Here is a 21,634-nt window from a genome sequence, read left to right on the forward strand (position 1 = left end):
GTGCTTTTCAAATCCAGAATACTGGGAGGTAGTTAGTACACTAAAAGTATGGACCGAATTTGCCTTCCTATACTTCAGGACAGTATTTATCAACTGGTGTGTGTGGCCTCAGTCCTTCAGAGGTGACCTGTCACATTTTGATGAATGCATAAAGTTAATTTGTTTTACACTGAGGACACTCCCAACATAGCACTGAGCAGACAGAATGTGATGCTGAGCGGCACTGTCACCGTCTGCTACAAGGAGGTAAAAGGCATAATTTAATAGTAAGCTGGCACCAAAGAAAGATTTCATAATTTGGGAAATGTGCAAACACTTTGCTTCATGAGCACATAAGAGAGTGTGGCCAGGTAGGAAGCAGGCCCATACAGCAGCTCTGCTGGAAACTCCACAAAGGTGGAAGCCCAGGTTTTCTCCTAGCACTTGGAGCCCATGGCCCCACATGGGGCTAGACAACAACAAATCGTTGTTCCATAAATGAATGAATGAATGAACCTGTCACATAGTGGCAAAGCGTGACCAAGGGGCTTGACTCTGGATGAAATCTGTCAAACTAGACCAGAAAACCAAAGGCTAAGAACCTTTGTTTTGAGCAGGAGAAAACCCTGTCTTTTCGACAGTCTTTTCTTATGTTGTATGTATTTTCTTGCTTTGCCTCCTGTCCTGGCCTGGAAGCTCACTGAGGGCAGAGTCCTCATCTTAACTCTTCCCTTTTTTTGAGACAGAGTCTTGCTCTGTTGCCCAGGCTGGAGTGCAGAGGTGCAATCTCGGCTCACTGCAATCTCTGCCTCCCAGGTGGAAGCGATTCTCCTGCCTCAGCCTCCCATGCAGCTGGGATTACAGACATGTGCCATCATGCCCAGCTAATTTTTGTATTTTAGTAGAGACAAGGTTTCACCATGTTGGTCAGGCTGCTCTCGAACTCTTGACCTCAGGTGATCCACCCGCCTCGGCCTCAAAAAGTGCTGGGATTACAGGCATGAGACACTGCGCCCAGCTACTTGTTTTAACTCTTTTGGTCTTTTTCTTCTTTTAGAGGGCATTGTGCATGGCATGAGATGCTAAATGATGCTGAACCCATGAAAGAATCCAGACTGTCATCTTCATCACCATCATTATCACCATCATATTCACCTTTGTCATCATTTTTATCATTTTCCTTCATCATCAACCTTCATTATCTTCATCATCTTTTTCTTCCCCTTTGTTGATTTCATTTTCCCTCGGGATAGTGTTGTGCTGATTTCTAAGTGCTTTCACGGGTATGATTCTGTGGCGGTATACACTTGTGCTCTCCGGCTGACCGGGTTAGGATTTTCCTTGTAGTCAGCATCAGCATCAGCCCCTCTTCTTGGGCACCTGCTACTGGTTCTGCTTGTTCTCCTGATTCTCCAGGCACATCTTTAGGAATAGGCGGCTTTAGGTGCAGTGAGGAAACATAAGCTAGTATTTATTATAGTAAAAGAGAAATTTGTTAAATCATTAGGCAAAAATCAATAATTCAAACAAAGAAAAAGGGACTAAAAGCAAAGTTGCATTGCTTTCAGTAATGTAAAGTACTCTGCTTTGACCCTATTTTGGCCAGTGTTCTTAGTGAAGAATGCGCCAGTTCTTAAATATCACATGACTTCCTTATTAGTCTTAACAAAATAACAAAGAACTGTGCATATGAGAATGGTTAGAGAAGCCTTTTCATCTTACTGATATCAATACAAATAAAGAGATATTTTGCTGCAACAGGTCCTGGCTTCAAAAAGAGCCATAAATGCCTGTTGTTGTTTTTTTTTTTTAATCATTTCTGACTCTTGGTTTTCAGAGCATTTGATCTCTCTTCTTTCTCTCTCTGGCATCCTCTATCACAAGCATGAAGTGGAGATTCGTGGAGCCCTCGAGCCAGTTCTTTGGTTTTCAGGTAACTCTTTTAGATAAACTTGAATGAATAAATTCATGTAACTTGACAATTTACTCATTTAAAGAGACAGAGCTACTTTGAGACTTGCCTGAAATGAACAATGTTTCCGGCCTTTTAAAAGAAAAATCATCCCAGAACCACACCCTACCACCACCACCATGTGGACTTCTGCTATTTGAATTATGATATTACTTAAATGCATATTGCAGAAAAGTGGATATAAACTTCTTATGTTTGTAGTTCTTATAAAACCGTAAAACAGAAAACTAATTTATAGGTTAAAGTCAAACAATAAAACAAATGCAATTAAAGTTAACTGCATTAACTTTAGAAAGACATGGTTTGTGAAAGATATTGTTTTTTGGAAGTAAATCACTGCTTGAAACAAGATGCTGGCCATCTTGGCTTTTTGTGAACTCCTTTGGTACAAATGCAGTATGTCAGAGTTATGGCCAACTCAGTTCTTCACTCACTAGCCTTTGACAAAGTGGTACCATTGGCACCAACATAAAGTAAACACAAATGCAAACTTGGGCTTTGCCTTGTGTAGGTTGGCCATCCAGGTGGTACAGAATATGCTTACATCAATTTAGTTTATCATCAACATGAAAACGTCAAATTAAAAATTCTCCTTAGAGAGCTCACAGGTACCTGTAAACTCATCCCAGTAACATAGTAAATATGGATTTAGAGTTAAACGATTGAACTGAAGCTTATAATGAAAATGTTTTGATTATAACACAGTGACCTTTACATGTTGTAAGGATGATTTTGTACTTTTTTCTAAGGAGTCCATTTAACTTAGTTATAATTTACCAAATGGAATGGATGTTTCAACAGGAATATAAAAGGCTTTGAAGGAATTCAAAATCTCTTTTCCCTTTTTTTTTTTCTATACAATCAGTATGGCCTTAGTTACACTGCAGTAACAAATAACCCTCGAATCCTAGTGTCTTAACCTAATAAAAGTATATTTCTCCACTGTTGGTTGGGACAGGGCCTCTGCTCCTGTGGTCACCTGAGGACTGACTCAAGCTGATGGAAGCCTTGACATGTGCTCCCACCATCTCCCTGGCAAGTGAAGAAGGTGTGATGACTCATGGCTTGGCTCTCTAAAGTTCAACCTTCTATACACAAACCATCGGTCACAGACAGTTATCAGTTATATGGCCACCCTAATTTCAAAAGAGAGAAGTACAATCCCACCATGTGCTCACAGAGGGGAGAACTGTAAGTATTTGTGAAGAGCCCAAGTGCCCACCAGCCCTTCCTTAATCCTCCCTCACTTGGTACAATAGCGGGACTCTCAGGGAAAGGTACTGCCTCCGATGTCTCTGTTGGGTTGTCTGCCTGCCTTACCTCTTTAAAAATACTCCTGCCATCTTAGAGAGCAAATGGGTAATACAAAATAAGAAGTTATATTTATTCCTTTTAGAAAACAAAAGGAAGAAGTATGTAGTTGAGCAAAGGTTGAATAAAAATCACAAATTTTGTGTTTAGAGGTAATTAATAAAAATAATATTATCTTCCTTCCTGGAGTAAAACTCATCTGAAACGGCTCTGATAGCAAAAAGGTTAGCTTTGGAATTTGAATCCCATGGTGGATATTGGTTAGCAAACAGGGCCTCCAAACCTTTTAGGGGTATTTGGTAATTATTACTCTTTTGGTGACTGTAGTTATTGAGGAAAAAAACCTATGAGTATCTTGTATTTTCACTTCTATATTTTAAGTGGCAGTGGGATCAAGGATAATTGTGCATGTAGTTTGTATTTAAATAAGGCACGTGAGTGGAAATATCACTGAATTTGCCTCTCAGAAATCAGTCCTCAATCGCGATGTTGAAATGTGCATTAAAAGTACCTCATGCTATGATAATTAAATGTTATGTTTTCCAGAGATGCTAAATGACAACTCCTGAGGGTCTCAATATTTGCAAGTACCTCTATTTTATATGACAAAACTTTAAAAAATGAGCCATAGTAACTTTTATAAATTGAGGATTTAAAATGAAAATTAGACATACTCATTCTCTCAAGATATTTTATTCTACTACATGACCAATCATAAATCTTTAAGTCTCTGGATACAGTACATAAAAACTGGAAATGTTTTTCTTTCACCAATAGATTGCACCAAATATGCTACTTTTTTGCTTTCATTTGGCCATTATGTTTTTAAAAAGTCAAAGTGACTTCCTTTGTGATAGGTAGTATAAATTTAGATAGAAAACAATTATTGTCTTTGATATCTATTAAAAAAGTAAAGCATGTTCACTGTAGGAAAATCAGGAAGTACTGAAGAATATAAAGAACCAAACCAAATAAAGCAGAGGTTAAAAAATAATAACTAGTAATAATCTTACTACCTAAGAGCAATCACTTAACTTAGTGTTTTTCTTACCAGTCTTTTTAAAAATGTGTGTGTGTGTATGTGTGTGTGTGTGTGTGTGTGTGTGTGTGTGTGTGTACAGTTGGGATCATATGCAGGGAATTTCATTTTCTACATTTTTCATTTAACATTTTTTGGGTGGTGGTGGTGATGAGGAATGTACCAGGCCCTGTTTTATAACCTTTTTCTTAGAATTATGCAACTTCCTCCCAAATTTCAGAAGACTGTTCTTCTTGGAATAAAAGCAACAACAACCCTTACCCACAAGGACGTGCCCTATGGGATGCTATTGGAAGCAAGTATCATAAATCCTGACTCAAATTAAACAATAAGGAAATTTATTGTTCCACGTTATTAGGCATCCAGAGGTAATTCAGGCTTCAGCGGTTGCTTGATATAGTGGCACAATATCTTCAAGGACCAAGGTCCTTCCCATATTGCCTCTCCGCTGTCCACCCGATTGGCTTTGTCCCTGGGTTGATGGCAGCAATTAGGTCAATGGGCTTCCTTATGGATGCCTAGAGGGAAACAGAAAAGTACAGCATGAAAGTCCTCCTGTCACTTGGGGGTCCCATTGGTCCAGTTTAGGTTACATTCCTGCCTGGGCACCATTAGCAGTTGTCTTGTGCAGTGCTTAAACCTGGGATCCAGAAGGACTGGCCTCAATCTATTGGAACCCTCCCTGGAGCTGAGGATGGTGCCATCTTTTCCTGCATCACAAAGCTGTATGGGGAAGGGCTGACTACCTCCACAAAGTTGGAATTCTTTTGGTGGGAATGGATGTGATGCTGAATGGGTATCCAACATCATCCAGCAAAAGGGCCCCTTACAATGTCTCTCCTGCCTACCCTCTCCACTTCTCCAGTCTCACCTTGCACTGTGGTCCCCCACCTCTTTGGCTCCAGCTTCTACAGGTTATGTTCTCAACCTCAGGCCCTCTTGTCCATGCTGCTCCCTCTTCCTGGGATGCTCTTGCCTCCTCTCCTCTCATTTCCTAGTTAATTCCTACCCATCCTTCAAATGTTAGCTGAGCTCCCCTGTCCCCTGATGAGGTCAAATCTCTTATTCCTCTTCCTTTCTGGCACTTGGTAGTGTTCAGTCCTTACTTAATTGCGTCTTTCTTGACTAAGGTTTCTTTGTTTTCCGCTAATTCTAGCCTCCCTTAGGGTGGAAATTACCTCACCATTTTATTTCCTGTGCCTAACACAGTGCCTGAAATATGTAAGGTGCACAACACATAACTTGTGAATAAAATATGACTGAAATTAATTTTAAGCAGAAGTTAGCCGCCAGCATAAAAAGATGAAATTTAATGTTCAAAATCTAAATTTAGTATTTACCCTTGTTTATTTCGAGTATTATCCTATAGGGGAACAGGGATGGCATTTCAAAGCTGACTCTATTAGGGAGGCCCTGAGAATGTGGAGACCAGGGGAGACGAGTATGTGGTAATTGTAAGTTTGCCATACCATGTGGTTAGGTGGTAACTTACCACCCTATTGTGCCAGATCTCATGGGATTGATTGCTTGTTTATAGGGGCAAATAATAGCCTGGTGCCCCCCTCCTTTTCTTATTTTGTCACCTTAAGAAGGTGAATCCCCTTTTTCTCAGTGAGAAAGGGATAATTTTGGATGCGAATTATGAGAGAAATGAGAATATAGTCAAGGTGTGAAGTTTCTCCTGGGTAATATTTTTGTTTCATTTAATGAGAAAATATAGACATTCTGTTAAGAAATCAAATAGTTTATATATTTTAAACCTTCCACATTTTGAAGATTTATTGAAGAATATTGTTAAAATGCTAATAACTCATGAGGCTTTGCAGAATTGATATTAAACTTCTACCTATAAAGATATTAATACAGGCCAGGCACAGTGGCTCACGCCTGTAATCCCAGCACTTTGGGAGGCCGAGGTAGGCAGATCACTTAAGGTAAGGAGTTCGAGACCAGCCTGGCCAACATGGTGAAACCTCATCTCTACTAAAAATGCAAAAATTAGCCAGATGTGGTGGCACGTGCCTGTAATCCCAGATACTTGGGAGACTGAGGCAGGAGAATCACTTGAACCCGGGAGGCAGAGGTTGCAGTGAGCTGATTGTGCCACTGCACTCCAGCCTGTGTGATAAGACTCCGTCTCAAAAAAAAAAAAAAAAAAAGATACTAATACAAATGGTCATGGAGGGGGAATATAGAGAAGATCAATTTTGTACAGAAAAACCATTGGTTAGTATTTTTTTTTCTTTTGGATTTCTTTTTATTATTATTATTATACTTTAAGTTCTAGGGTACATGTGCACAATGTGCAGGTTTGTTACGTATGTATACATGTGCCATGTTGGTGTGCTGCACCCGTTAACTCGTCATTTACAATAGGTATACATTTTCCTATACCCTTAAGTCTAAGGATGTAGAAAACAGTCTTTGTTTATATTATGTTAATGTCTGCCTACTATCTCATTGTCTGAGCATGCTCTGTCTAACCTGAAATTGACATTTCATTCTCCCCACCTCTTGCTACTATGAATAATGCTTAGGTGACCATCTCACACATAAATTTCAGCATAAATCCTCATTCCAGGTTATGTCCTCTGGACAGATTTCCAGAAATAGAATTACTGGGATGTCCACTTTTAACGTCCAGCCTCAAAAGCCTTCTGTGCATTCAGTATTTGAAAAATGTGTTGGCTTATCGCGATTCTGAAATTGGAGAAGACTAGGCAGAGGAGATGAGGTGTTCAGCTCAGGGCACTGCACTGGCTCACCCACGATAAGGGGCACTCTGCAGGTGTGCCAGGGATGTGGGCATTGTGATCTGCCCAGACATGCAGATTGTCAGAGAGATGGCTGCATTCGTGGGCAAGTTTCTTGCTTAGACCCCAGAGTGTGAGAACTCTGAGGGGAACCCAGGTGAAGTCCATGTCAGCAGCTCACCTTTAAATATTAGACTTGGAATGTGATCAATCAGCAAGCCACAAGGGAGCAAGTATAACTAAAACATGTGCCTTGCAAAGAGGGCAAAGCTGCAATTTGCCAAGTGCACTATAATTGCTTCTGGTTAATTATCTCAGTGGTGAGCTGGGAGCACCAAAGGCAAACACTTACATCCACATTGTGGATAAAAATACTGCCACTTCTTGGATGATCCTAATTTCGGCTGTCAAGATGTGGACAATGCGCATCCAGTTCCTTTGGATAGTAAGAGATGGATAATGATTTCAGATAGCTCCAGTTTTTGGATCATCAATTTTTATCATCATTATAATTACTTATAATAATAAAGTAATATAATTATTCATAATAACCACTAATAATTACAATAATACTTACTGAATGCAGTCATTGGGCTAAGCACCTCCCATGCATTAGCTCACTGGATGCCCACAATGACCCTAAGAGGCAGTATTACTTTCATGATTTTCTTTTTGTTTTTTTGTGGTTTTTTCTGAGACGGAGTCTCACTCTGTCACCCAGGTTGGAGTGCAATGGCGCGATCTTGGCTCATTGTAACCTCCACCTCCTGGGTTCGAGCAATTCTCCTGCCTCAGCCTCCCGAGTGGCTGGGATTACAGGAGTCTGTGCCACCATGCCCGGCTAATTTTTGTATTTTTAGTAGAGATGGGGTTTCACCATGTTGGCCAGGCTGGTCTTGAACTCCTGACCTCAAGTGATCCGCCCACTTCAGCCTCCCAAAGTACTGGGATTACAGCCGTGAACCACTGTGCCCGGCTGTACTTTCATGATTTTCAGATTTGGGAACTGAAGCTTAGAGAGATTAAGTGACTTGTCCAAGGTCACACAGCTGATATGGATTCCCAGTTGTTATGTTAGGATCCAGAGATTTCTCTTAGCCACTGTAGCAGACACTGCTGGTGCCCCACCTAGATAGCAGATCTAGGAAGGACCCCTTTTACCATTCAGTGTGCCCATCCCCCAACTGCTAGAGGTGTTGCTGTTAATAGCTCACACCTGAAACCTTTTCTGTTGCCCTTCAGAGATTAGAGCAACTTTACCTGGAAGTGCCTAGGGGTAACAGTCAACCTCTATCCTGGAGCAGCACAAAGCTAATAAACAGATGGTGCAGAAGCAAAAAAGCCCAGCTCCCTTGTTTAAGGTGGCTCAAGTTCTGTGATACAGTGTGGTTCTAGAGCTCCCTGCAGGATCACACTGTGGCCACATGTCACCTAAACTACATCCTTGCCTAATTTCTTTTTCCCTAGCCTACTTTCCCCCCCCATGCCATTTCCCCTGAGATCACTCCCTTAGTAAGTGACAAATCCCCTCTCCTGCTCTACTTCTAGGGAGCCTGACCGAAGATAAACACTATGCCAAGTTAATTTCTGGTATGTTGTCTGATTTGCTGAAGGAATCCTTCCCATTGAAGCAGTGTTGCCTTGCCTTGTCTCTATGACTCTGGATACACTTTAGAGCCTTATGTGCCTTCTCTGCAAGATGAAAGAGCTAGATTGGATGGTCCTTAGGCTTCTAGTCCTGGAAGCTGCTGAAGTTTCCACTCTCTAAAATCCATAGTTTTGTGGCTGTGCCAAAAAAGGGACATTTGTCTTGGTAATGTGCCTCTGGTAGGAAGGCCCCCAGAGAGTGTGAACTTACTTTTCTCCTCTCTCTCCATCCCTACTACAGGGGATTCCTGAAGGGACTGGAGTCCACTGGAGCTTGTGAGTGTGAGTGTATGTGACTCAATGGGCTGGAATAGTCCATTAATTCTGAAATGTCTTTAGGAGAAAATGGCATTCCTGAGGTTAGGCAGTGAGGGCAGCATCCTCCAGCGCAGGAAAGTTACTGTTTGGGATGGGGTAGGGGTAGGCATTCCATGTCTAGAACAGGTCGGATGAGTGGAGCTAATGGATCTTCGGATTTATTAAGGGGGAGATCACTGGTGACTTTGACAAGAGTGGATTCAATGGAATTCACTCTGACTGGAATGCGTTAAATAGAGAATAATGGCAGTGAGGTCTCACAGTTGGCAGCAGTCCTGGAGACTTTCTGACCGTGGTGACTCTCTGATCATGGTAGTGGTTGCATGGCTTTGAGGTCAACAGTTATAATGCAAGTTTCCAGATCAGGCAGTGCTTCCTTGTCATAGGAGAAGCAGCAGTCTTTGGTGGTCCATTTCTGCCATTCTAGAAAACTTAAGGTAGAGTCATTTTCTTCAAGTCTCTGATAATTCTGGAAGCTACCTATCTATTACTCTGAAATAAGCCCCTTCTGCTTAAAGTTGTTAGAGTATATTCTATATTTTACAACTGAACTCTTACGGGCCTACTTTAGATAGTAGAATTGAAGATGCTCTATAAACACAAAACAGTACCCTCAGCATAAGCCTCTGGTTGACTAGGCCAGGCGTGGTGGCTCACGCCTGTAATCCCAGCACTTTGGGAGGCCAAGGCAGGCGGATCACAAGGTCAAGAGACTGAGACCATCCTGGCCAACATGGTGAAACCCTGTCTCTACTAAAAATACAAAAATTAGCTGGGCATGGTGGCACGTGCCTGTAGTCCCAGCTACTTGGGAGGTTGAGGTAGCAGAATCACTTGAACCCAGGAGATGGAGGTTGCAGTGAGCCAAGATCGCACCACTGCACTCCAGCCTGGCGACAGAGAGAGACTCCATCTCAAAAAAAAAAAAAAGAATATTCCAAGAGCAGCTCTTCTTAAGTACCCACTGTGTGTGTACCAGGCATTGTCTCAAGTCCTCAAATAGAGAGTAGCCATGATTGTCCCCACTGCATAGACAAGGAAATTACAGCACAGAGAAGCTGTTTCTTTTTTTTAAGGTCACACACCTGGAAAGCAGCAGAACCAGGTCTTGAACCAGGTCTGTCAGATGGCCAGTCCACCATGCTGCCTCATTGGGTAGGGACTGCTCTATCCAGGACACAAGATCTGAACAAGTTCCTAATTACAGAAAAGTGTTTGTGTGTGTGTGTGTGTGTGTGTGTGTGTGTGTGTGCGCTAAGAAATATCTCTGGGGATAGTTCTCCCTCTTAAAACTTTAGTAAAATTGGAGTAACTTTAGTATATGGAAGATTAGACATGCTTCTGTTTTGACCATCGTATCAAATCACAAAGATTCCTAAATGGTAAGGATTTGAAGGCAAGAGGAGAAGGGCTGTTGGAATCCTGAACTCCCAGTGATACAGATAAAAACAGAGGGTCATTTTAGCAAAAGAGAGAAGGGCTTGGGAGGTGCCATCAAAGAGGTTGAGCTTGGATATACCGAGGGGTGATGTAATGCATCCTCAGATGAGGATTTAAGTCAGAAGCAGAAAAAGAACAAAGGAATTGTGGCTAAGCAAAGAAGTGAGAGATGGAAGGGCAGAAGAGCCTCATCCCTAGGAAGGTACACTATACAAGAGGCCACTGTCCTAGCACAGAAGCAAGAAGAGTCCAGCAGATCTCAGGACCTGCTGTGGCATTAGTGGGAGAGGAGGAGAGAAGCCAACGAAGAAGCTGTAAGGAAAGGTAAGCAAAATAACGAAACAGAGACAGACACCAAGAAGAAAGGCGTGTGAGATGTGGCTGAGCTTTAATTGGCTCCCCTCAGCCTTTTTTCTGTCAGACAAACATGTGATTCTGACCCATCTGTTTTGGTGCCACAGCCTTTTGCTCTCCAACTATCCCTGGATCTGATTGTTATCAGCCTAATCCTAACATAGCCTCGAGGCCCGGTGCGGTCCTTGCAGGCAGAACTTCCACGTTGCTCAGCTCTGGCCCTTGGGTTTCATTAGCCGCTAATAGCACAGGGACTTGGGCTAGGGATTATTGAGGCTGGACTAGCCTTGCAACCTTGAAAGAGTTACCCAACCTCTCTGAACCTCAGTTTTGCCACTAGTAAAATGAGAATGATGACAGTACATGTTAAATAGCTTAAATGAGGTAATATGCAAGAAAGGCCTAGAAAAGGGGTTGGCACACTGAAAGTTCTCAATTCAGTAAATGCTAACTCTTACTATCATTCTTTGGCACCTTATACTTTCTCTGTTGTACTCTTACCTGGTGAGAGGGAAAATATTAAGACTTGAAGAACCTGGATTCCTCTTTGGCTCCACCGCTTACTTGATGTGTGATTTGGGAAAATCCCTAGACCTCTCTAGGCCTCAGTTTTCTCATCTCTACAATGGTTGAACAGACGAAATGGTTGAAATTAATGAGGTCTGTCCATGACAGGATTGTGTAATTTATATTCCAGCAGGGATATTCCTGGAAGGTGAGAGTTTACCATTTCCTTCCATTCAGGTTGAAGCAGTCTTCAGGTTGGGCTTTGCAGTGACCTAGTTTAGTTTCATAAATCATTCACTGAGGGCCTGTTTGTCCCAGGCGTGGGGTCAGAAGCTGAGGGTGAGTGTGCCTGGGAGAGGACAAGCCAAACCCCTTTGAGCGACGACTCATGTCTAGTGAGAAAATAGGAAGAAATACAAAGCCAATTACAACCTACTGGGGTGCATGCACAAGTTAGAGGTCAGAAGATGGACTGATTTGCTGGCTGTGGGGGTGGGAGAAGCCTTCATGGAGGAAATGAGGGGTGCTCTCTTCCATGTTCATAAAATTAATATATGTTCAGTGGAAGAAATATGCAAAATGTAGAAAAGTGCATAGAAAAAAATCCCACTTTGGTGCATGTATGTTCTTCTCGTCCTATGCCTGGTATGTGTGAGTACATGTCCAATATCGAAATCTTGGTTTGCATAGCATGTTGTCACTTGTTTTTCAACTTTAGCAAAGTACCCTGAAAGAGAATAGGAGTCTGTGGAGGCAAGCAGGGAAAGGAGAGACGGAGAGGGCAACATTCCAAGCAGCAGTGACAGCATGAGAAGTAGCAGCTTCAGCTTTCTACTTGAAAGATGGTACATTTCTTTCCTAAACACAGCAGCATAGTGACTGGAAACAGTCACTACTATTCATATAATGAATATGGAGACGAAACAGCATATTCACTTCCATGCATCTTGAGCTTCAAGGTGTAGTCTGTCTAGCAGCAACTGGCTTGCAATTTACTCAGCAATAAAGAAGGACTTAGTTCTGAAAGCAGACAAACCAGAATCCTTCAGTGGCCCCATAGCTCTTCCCAAGGGAGATGAAATGAAGGAGCCTCACTGCAGAAAGGATTTGTGATGCTCCAAGGGCCTGCCATGCGCACAGCACGTTCTGAGGAAAGGGGCCCCAAGAGGCTCTCTCTGCTTCCAATTGTTAGCACTCAGGCTGTGTGTGTACTTGGGGACCCCCCCACTGTGATTCCAGGCATGATCTATTGGACCAGTGACTGGGGCCTGATCTGTGAGCATCTGATGCAGGCTGCTCCTGCGGGAGGCCAGCTCATCCCTGAGGTGTCTTGGTGCACAGCTTTCCAACAGGGGTGACCTTTGATGTCAGAGGTTCAGAGCTGGGCTATGAGAGCTCAGGTTGTCCGCACAACCATGCCAGGCTGATTGCTGCAATCCTACACCAGGCCTGATGGCGCTAGAAACCCCAACAAGCCTGTAGCTGATGAGGTAGTGTCTGGGGCACCCTCACTTCCTAGCACATCATTATGCTCAACTCCCATCACCAGGATAATCCATGTCTGACTCTTTTAAAAATTGTAACAACTCAAATACAATAGCCTTTCCTGACCAGTTAGTGATGAGCCAGACTGGCTCACACTGGCTCACAGGTATTAATTGTGAGATTCTGGAGAATTCTGTGAGGTGGTTGTTAAGAACAGCCATTACTACACATTAAATTATATATATATATGCCTGCAATTAAGTAAATTATATTAAAAACAAAGGTAGTGAATACTTGAGAGCTTGTTTGGAGGTTCTAGCAGCTTCGGGAAGGACATTGAGTGGTGAGGGAAGAAAGGGACACCCGCCTTGCAAGCAAGGTCAGCTGAATCAACCCTGGTGATCAATGAGGTGACACATGTCACAGCCAGATCACCTTCACATCCAAAGGGAGTAAATACTTGAAACTCATCTCCTCCTAGTTATTTTTTACATTTTACTCTTCTCTATGCTTTGGGGATTATTTACATCTATTTTGTGTATATAATGCTGTGCTAGAAGCTTTAGTGACTTCATGTAGATAGCTCTGAATCAGGCATGGTAGGAGTATTTACATCTCAGAAATCGGCGAATGTTACAAACCACGGCCTTCCCTTCCCTCTGAAAGCTGGTGATTACACATTTACCAGCACAACCCTGCCCTTAGGCACTGGGGGAAGCCGAGCTTCCTGAATGTGCGTTTTGGAGAACAGCATGCCTTGCTCAATTCCACCAGCAAGTCAGCACGGCTAAAGGCTGGAAACTGTTCTGTATTTGTCACCCATTTATTAATATAATTTCCTCACAGCAAAGGTTTCCCAGGCTGTTCCTTAAGGAGGCAGATACTCTTGATCCACCACCCACAGGCCTATTATCATCACTGGATTCTCATTTGACTCTACAATGTAATGAATACAGAACAGCCAGGATACTCCTTCCTCCCTCTCTTCTCACTTGCCTGTGGCACTGTCTAGGCAGAGCCTAGAGAAGTCTTCAGTGCCCGGGCCACTTGCTGCTAAGTGCAGGTGGCACATGGACCAAACTGGGCTTTGTGGGGAAGCAATTCCATGCTTCTTTTCACCTCACTGAGAAGACAGTGCCCAGGTCCCTTCTCTGCGCCACCAACTGTGAAGTGGAGGGGTGGCAGGATTCCACCTCCTGGCCCCCTCTGCCCAGAGGGAGGGGATGGAATTATACCCCATGTCATGGGGGATGTTAAGGAGCTGGCCTATTCCAATCTCCCAGATGCATATCTGTACTGCAGAGTGGGTAGAGAGAGCAAAGTGCCCAGCAGCCTTAAAATAAGATGCCGGTTGTCATTGCAGACCCTTGTATCTCACGAGGAATGAACAAGGGGAGCCTCAGAATGCTGCTGCTGGTCCATGGCCCTGAGCTGGGTCGGGGAAAGAGGCAGACATGGCTTGGACTAAAGAGCTGGGAATGACATGAGATACACAGGGATCTTCCTGATGCAGTGGGAAACAATTTGCTTTTATTTCTGAAATAAACCCTCAAGTGACCTTGAGGCTTGAGAGTGCCTTTTGGAAACGATCTGTGATACAAAAGTCCTGGCCCAAATGGGAGGGGCTCCAGTGTGCAGGTGACATCAAGGGCATAGGCTTTGGGGCCTGACAGTGGAGCTGGCATCCCAGCTCTGTCTTTAATGTCTCACTCTGCCTAAATTCCATCATCTTAAACAGGGGCTAATAACGATAACACTTGTCACATAGAGTCCCTTTGAGAATTACATGAAGAATGTAAAAAGTTTAGCACAGGGCCTGGCATCTAGCAAACACTCAATAAATCCTGGAGCTCCAGGACAGGAATGGGAGAGAGACATTTCTCTCTAAGCTTTGTTATACTGCTTGAAATTTTATTTTATTTATTTTATTATTATTATTATTCTTTGCAGACAGGATCTCACTCTATAGCTCAGGATGGAATGCAATGGCACATTCATAGCTCACTGCAGGCTTGACCTCCCTGGCACAAGTGATCCTCCCACCTCAGCCTCCTGAGTAGCTGAGACTACAGGCATGCACCACCATATCCAGATAATTTTTTAAAATTTTTTCTTAGGGACAGGTCTCTCTATGTTGCCAGGGCTGCTCTCGGACTCCTGGGCTCAAGTGATCTTCCCAGCTTGGCCTCTCAAAGTGCTGGGATTACAGGCATGAGCCACCACACCCAGCTTGAAATTTTTAGATAAAGTGTCTGTATCACCTGTTTTAAAAATTTTAATTTAAAAAGTCAGTACCTTTTTAAATGACAAATAATAATTATACCTATTCATGGGGTACACAGTGATGTTTTCGTACATATAATGTATGGTGATCAGATCAGGGTCATTAGCATTCATCATCTCAAACATGCATCATCATGCATCATCTCAAACATTCATCATCTCAAACATGCATCTTCCTTTGTGTTGGGAACATTCAATATCCTCCTTCTAGCTGTTTGAAACTATTAGTATATAATATTGTTAACCAGTCATCCTATAGTGTATAGAGCACTAGAATTTACCCTTCTATCTAGCTGTCATTTTGTATCCTTTAACAAATCTCTCCCCAAGTCTCCTCTCTTCCCAGCCTCTAGTACCCTTGGCTCTACTTTTTACTTCTTTTTTTTTGCGACCTCTGCCTCCTGGGTCAAGCAATTGTCCTGCCTCAGTCTCCTGAGTAGCTGGGATTACAGGCACCCACCACCTTGCCCACCTAATTTTTTTTTTTTTTTTTGTATTTTTAGTAGAGACAGGGTTTCGCTATGTTGGCCAGGCTGGTCTCAAACTCGCCTCAGTCTCCCAAAGTGCTGGGATTACAGGCATAAGCCATCATGTCCGAGCTTCTACTTTTTACTTCTATGAGATCAAGTTTTTTGCTTTCTTATATGAGTGAGAACATGCAATGTTTAACTTTCTACCTATTTTTTTAAAGGTGAGAAAAGTAACAGTGTTCACAGACAGTTTTAATGGATTGGGAAAAGGACAAGAAAAGTCCACAAATCTTCCTTCTAAGTGTCATGTCTTCTTTTATAAAATGGGGTAATAATGGCACCAACATCCTGAGGTGTTTGTGAGGATAAGGGCTCAGCCCCGTGTCAGGCATATGGTCATTGCTCTGAAGTGCCCCTCAATGGTGACAAGCTCACAATCTTGAGGCCCTGCATACAGCCTGCTATTCTAGCCTTAGGTTTGCATTTCTCAAACCCAGTACTAAGGGGGATTTCTACAGAAGGAGACCACTCCTCAGCAGGGGAACCCCTGCAAGTGGTCCTGGTAGGAACCTCTGGGCTTGGTGCTGAATCTGAGCCCTTTGGCGGGATGGCCAATGCCTCCAGTGCTCCCAGTTCCTGGAAGGTGGTCAGCAGGCAGGTTCTAGAGCTGAAGCTGGTCCTGACTCTGGTTACCTGCAGTCAAACATGCAGGACTACAGGAGGACAAAAAGGGAGCTGTAGGAGTTCTGTGCAGCAGGAAAGTTTGAAGCAGAGATAAAGTGTGAGAGGGCAGGCTTAGACAGGTAAAAGGCTTTCCATTGCAAGTTACAGCAAACCCTTCTGAACCTGCCTGAAGCATAAATGGGCTGTTACTGCCTTACTTATGTTATTAAGAACAAATAGTTCCTCTTCAAAGGGTTTCAGTTCCTGGTTCTTTGTTCTATTCTAAAAGGAAATCATACCCATTCATCTATCAGCCCTCCCTCTCTCTGCTGTGCTCAGACGCCCCAAGATGTACCTTACCTATCCTTCCCATCAAACATCCACCCTCGCCTCCTTTGATGATGTCAACAGTAGCTAATCGGAATTAGCCTAGATTGTGTGGTCCGACCCCAACACTCAGGGTGAGGGCACAGGAACAGGGTCTGCTTCAGGGATAAAAAACTCCTGCTCTCCTTTGTTTTGCGCGGTCTCCCTTGCCTCTGTCTTGCATACAGGAAGCGCCTTTCTGTAGAAGTAAATTGCCTTGCTGAAAGAACTTTTGCCTGAGTGCTGGGTTCACTTTGCGGCACTGAAAATTGGTTTCTAACAATCTGGGGGCTCGTCCAGGAGTCCCATTCTCCTCCGGGGAAGGGGTCTCTGGTCATCTCCCAGGGGGAGATGCATCCCACTGCGTCACTGTGGTGGCCTCAGGGGCTAGAGATCGAGACCCCACCGACTATGACAAATAAACCCAGACTCTCAGCAATGTTGGAAGGAAAGGCTTGCCTACAAACACAATGGCGACCAGGTAACTTTGTGCACAGACCAAAGTAAGAAAAGCCATGGGGGCAGCGAAGTATTTCCTTGGTGGTCAGGATATCTTGGATGTTGAAAGTGTGTGTGAATAATCACAAGCACTACTGCTTGCGGTGCTGCTTGTGTGAATAGTGATAAGCACTACTGCTGTGTGGAGTGAGTGGGTCCTTTATGTGGTTCTGTGGTCAACTCATATGTCTTAGAACGGATCCTGCCATGGGGCTTATACTGGCATGCCAATGCTAAAAGGGACCTAATTTCCCATGAGGGAAGCAGCCAGATAGGACAAAGCAAATGGAAAGGAGTGCAAGAAAACTCCAGTAAGGGGGTTTGAGCCTCTAGATAAAAGGGAAGGCTTTAATAAGAGAGGTTAGGCCACACACACACACACTCAAGGGAGCATCCAAAACCTCCAAGATGGGAAACACTCCTAGTACAACAGGGAAAGGTAAGGATAGGGATAGTCAGATCCCCTCCGATAGTCCTTTAGGTCTCATGCTAAAATTATTAGAAGGAAAATGAGACGACCAGACACCAAAAAAAGCAACAGATGATAGAATATAGTTTTATTTGGGCCAAGAAACCCATCCTCAAACCTGATGTCTTCTGGCCAAAATATGGATGAGATGAGGATTGGGTCTGTCATCTTTTAATTCAGCATGTGAATGACAAAAGTCTGGTCTCACAGAAAGAAATAGACTATGCTCTCTGCTGGAGAAAAAAGACCTGTTATCTTCTTTCCCCTAAAAAATGCAGGGGAAGGATCAGATTTCACACTTACCACCACCCCATGGGTCAGCCTAAGTATCCTTCCCTAAAAGGACTCAAAATCTTCCTTCCCCCTCTACCTCTAAGGAATCAGCCCCAACTCTCTTTCCTTTGAGAGAGGTGCCCCAGGAAGGAAGAGAATGTCCCTCCTGGGTATCCTTTTCTCAGGGGAAGAAAGGGGGATGAATCATAGGGCTGCTATGACAATTTGGGAACGTGAACATCCTTCTGGCCAAAACATTCCGGCAGCAGGCCAGAAATTCCCAGTCCAAGATCCTCAATGGGATAATAACAATGCAGTCCACCGGAAAAACATGATATGAAACCATTCTATTAAAAAAAAAGATGTTGCTGGGCGCAGTGGCTCACGCCTGTAATCCTAGCACTTTGGGAGGCCAAGGCAGGCAGATCACGAGGTCGGGAGATCGAGACCATCCTGGCTAACACGGTGAAACCCCGTCTCTACTAAAAAAAAAAAAAAAAAAAAAAAAAATTAGTCAGGTGTGGTGGCGGGCACCTGTAGTCCCAGCTACTTGGGAGACTGAGGCAGGAGAATGGCGTGAACCTGGGAGGCGGAGGTTGCAGTGAGCCGAGATCGCGCCACTGCACTCCAGCCTGGGCGACAAAGCGAGACTCCGTCTCAAAAACAAACAAACAAACAAAAAAAGATGCACCACTGACAATGCCCTTAACCCTACTGCTTTCCTAACTAGGAATCTAAACCCCAAAGATAAAGATCTTAGGGAAATGATAATTAAAGGAATTCGGGAGTCAGTGCCCCACACTCAGAATCTTTCCCGAGCATTTGACGTACAACAGGAAAAAGATGAAGGCCCCATGAAATTTCTAAAAAGACCAAGGGAACAAACAAAAAAATATGCAGATTTAGATCCAGAAGACTCTCTCGGGCAAGAAATGTTAAAGCTACATGTTGTCACAAACAGCTGGTCAGACATAACAAAGCAGTTGCAAAAACTAGAAAACTGGAAAAACCTGTCCATAGAGAAACTCCTAGGAGAAGCCCAAAAATTCTATGTGAGGAGAGATGAAAAAAAGCAAAAACAAAAAACGAAACTTATGCTATCCACCTTCCACCAGATGACTTCCAGCCCATAGGCTTCTACACAGAGGCTTCAGGGGGCCAGGAATTATAAAGGGTCCAAACCCCTGCTTAGAGGAGCCAAGCCTCCGACCTGGGGACCCAGACCCTCAGGTACCAGGCCCTCTAGAGAGTACAGGGGAGCAGGGTCAAATAATCCTAGAACTGAGGGAGAGAAAGCACAGGATAGGTGCTTCAAATGTGAAAGAGCAGGCCACTTCAAAAGAAAATGCCCTGAGTGGGGGAAGAAAAAAGAAACTGTTCTACCTTTGAAAGCCGAGGAAATAACCTTGCTGATAAAATCGCAAAGCAAGCTGCCATCTCTCAAAAAGCATCTATTTTCCACCTGACTCCCTGTCTCTCTCTCCCAGTTACAATCCCTATCTTCTCTCCTGCTGAAAAAGAAAAGTTAGAGAAACTTAGGGGCTAAGGAAAACTCAGAAGGGAAGTGGGTGTTACCAGACCAAAGGGAAATGCTTTCCAAACCACTTATGAGAGAAATCCTGTCCCAACTACATCAAGGGACTCACTGGGGACCTTAAGCTATATGTGATGCAGTTCTCAGAGTCTATGGATGTATAAGAACTTATACCTTAGCAAAACAAGCTGTGGACAGTTGCCTAATATGTAAGAAAACTAATAAACAGGCCCTAAGAATCTGGGGGGAGAAACCCAAGATTAAGGCCATTTCAAAGCATTCCAGTTGACTATACTAAAATACCCCCACTAGGTTACCTTGAATACCTAGTAGTAGTAGTAGACCACCTCACTCATTGAGTTGAAGCCATTCCTCTCCCCAGTGCAACAGCTAATAATGTGGTTAAAGTATTACTAGAGAAGATAATACCTCGGTTCGGGCTAGTAGAAAACATTGACTGAGATAATGGGACTCATTTTACTATAAATATCATTAAAGGACTTACTCAAGCTTTAGGAATCAAATGGGAGTATCATACCCCCTGGCATCCATCCTCATCAGAAAGAATAGAAAGGATGAATCAGACTTTAAAAAATCATCTAACTAAGTTAATCTTTAAAACTCAATCACCTTGGACTAAGTGTCTCCCCATTGCTCTACTCAGAATCCGAACTGCCCCTCGAAAAGACGTTGGCCTATCTCCTTAAGAAATGCTCTACGGGTTACCATACTTAAGTTCCACTAGTGACATTCCCACTTTTGAGACCAAAGATCAATTCCTTAGGAACTATATATACCTGGTCTGTTTTCTACCTTGTCTTCCCTTAGGACTAAAAGTCTCTTAGCGCAAACTCCGCCTCTTGAGTTTCCAGTCTATCAGCACCGGCCTGGAGACTACGTCCTCATTAAGAGCTAAAAAAAAGAGAAAGTTGAACCGTCCTGGCAGGGACCACATCTGGTGCTCCTAACAACTGAAACTGCAGTCCAAACCACTAAAAAAGGATGGACCCATCACACCCGAGTCAAAAAAGTGCTGCGCCCTCCAGCGTCATGGGCCATAGTCCCAGGGGAAAATCCTACCAAACTAAAGCCAAGGGAAGTTTAACTCTCTGTCATCTATTCTATTACTCGTTCTTCTTTCCTTGTTCTGTTACTAGCCACTTCGTTATTAATGTAACTAGATCAGACTCACCCCAGACCATTACCTTCGATGCTTGTTTAGTTATGCCTTGTGAAGATCTCCAAAGCCAGCGACAGTTTACAGCAGCAGAAAAATATTTCTGCCCCTCCACAGCAAATGCTTGTAAATTGTTTAGGTACCCGTTTTGTCATACTTAAAAATATGTCGTTTGGACCACTCAAGACTGGGTCCCCTCAGAAGATTTCCCACTAACAGTTCTAAAGCCCTATATCCATTTTACTAAAAAAAGTGCCCCTCTCAATTGTCAATATAACCAATATGACCCGGTGCAAATTTCCATCACCATCCCGACTCTTCAAGATTCCTCCCCTACCCTAAACCATTTCTATGATATGAGAGCAAATATAACAGAAAAAGACCTCGTAGGATTTTTTGAGTTGCACTTCATCACATCCTCATCCCTCACATCTCCACCTCTATCCTCTTCTAAACCTGCTGACCAGACCACTGTCTCTTCTCCACCTAATGACAAAACCAAAGTAGCTATTGTAGAGGTTAAAAATTTAAAACAAACACTGGCAATTAAAACAGGACACCAAGTTGCAAATGCCTAGATGGACTCTAAACAAAAGTGACTCTTAGGCTTGTGTGCACAGTAGGCCAGAGGCCCAGGTCATCCCCTTTTCACTTGGATGGTCTTCTGACCAACCAGACTTGAGCTGTATGGTGGCTCTTTTCCAAGACCCCACAGCTTGGGGTAATGAATTCTGTCGAATTCTCTCTCTGCTATTCCCTGAAGTTCAACACTCTGCGGGTCAGCCCCTGAGGGCCATCTAGCCTCCATCTCCAGACGTGAATTTTACTTCGTGTCTCTCATGACAGGGAGAAAATTTGGCATTTCTTGGAGACCTAAAGGGATGCAGTGAGCTTAAGTCTTTCCAAGAGCTTACCAATCAGTCTGCCCTTGTTCATCCCCCAGCTGATGTATAGTGGTATTGTGGTGGACCCCTACTGGACACTCTGCCAAGTAACTGGAGTGGCACTTGTGCTCTAACTCAATTGGCCATCCCTTTCACCACGGCATTTCATCAACCAAAAAAAGGGAAACCACAATGCCATAAAACAAGAGAGG

At 43.4% G+C, this 21,634-nt stretch overlaps 1 long non-coding RNA gene across 1 annotated transcript in view; it reads right to left on the reverse strand.

Annotated features, from left to right (window-relative positions):
• Window positions 1-4,617: 4,617 nt before the first annotated feature.
• LOC124909381 (uncharacterized) overlaps window positions 4,618-21,634 on the reverse strand; it is a 65,088-nt gene continuing 48,071 nt past the window's right edge. The window contains exon 2 of the long non-coding RNA XR_007095914.1: window positions 4,618-4,819. This is a non-coding gene — a long non-coding RNA (uncharacterized LOC124909381). The remainder of the gene's footprint in view (window positions 4,820-21,634) is intronic.

The sequence above is a fragment of the Homo sapiens genome, chromosome 3 (assembly GCF_000001405.40).
Source record: "Homo sapiens chromosome 3, GRCh38.p14 Primary Assembly".
In the NCBI taxonomy this organism is placed as follows: domain Eukaryota; kingdom Metazoa; phylum Chordata; class Mammalia; order Primates; family Hominidae; genus Homo; species Homo sapiens.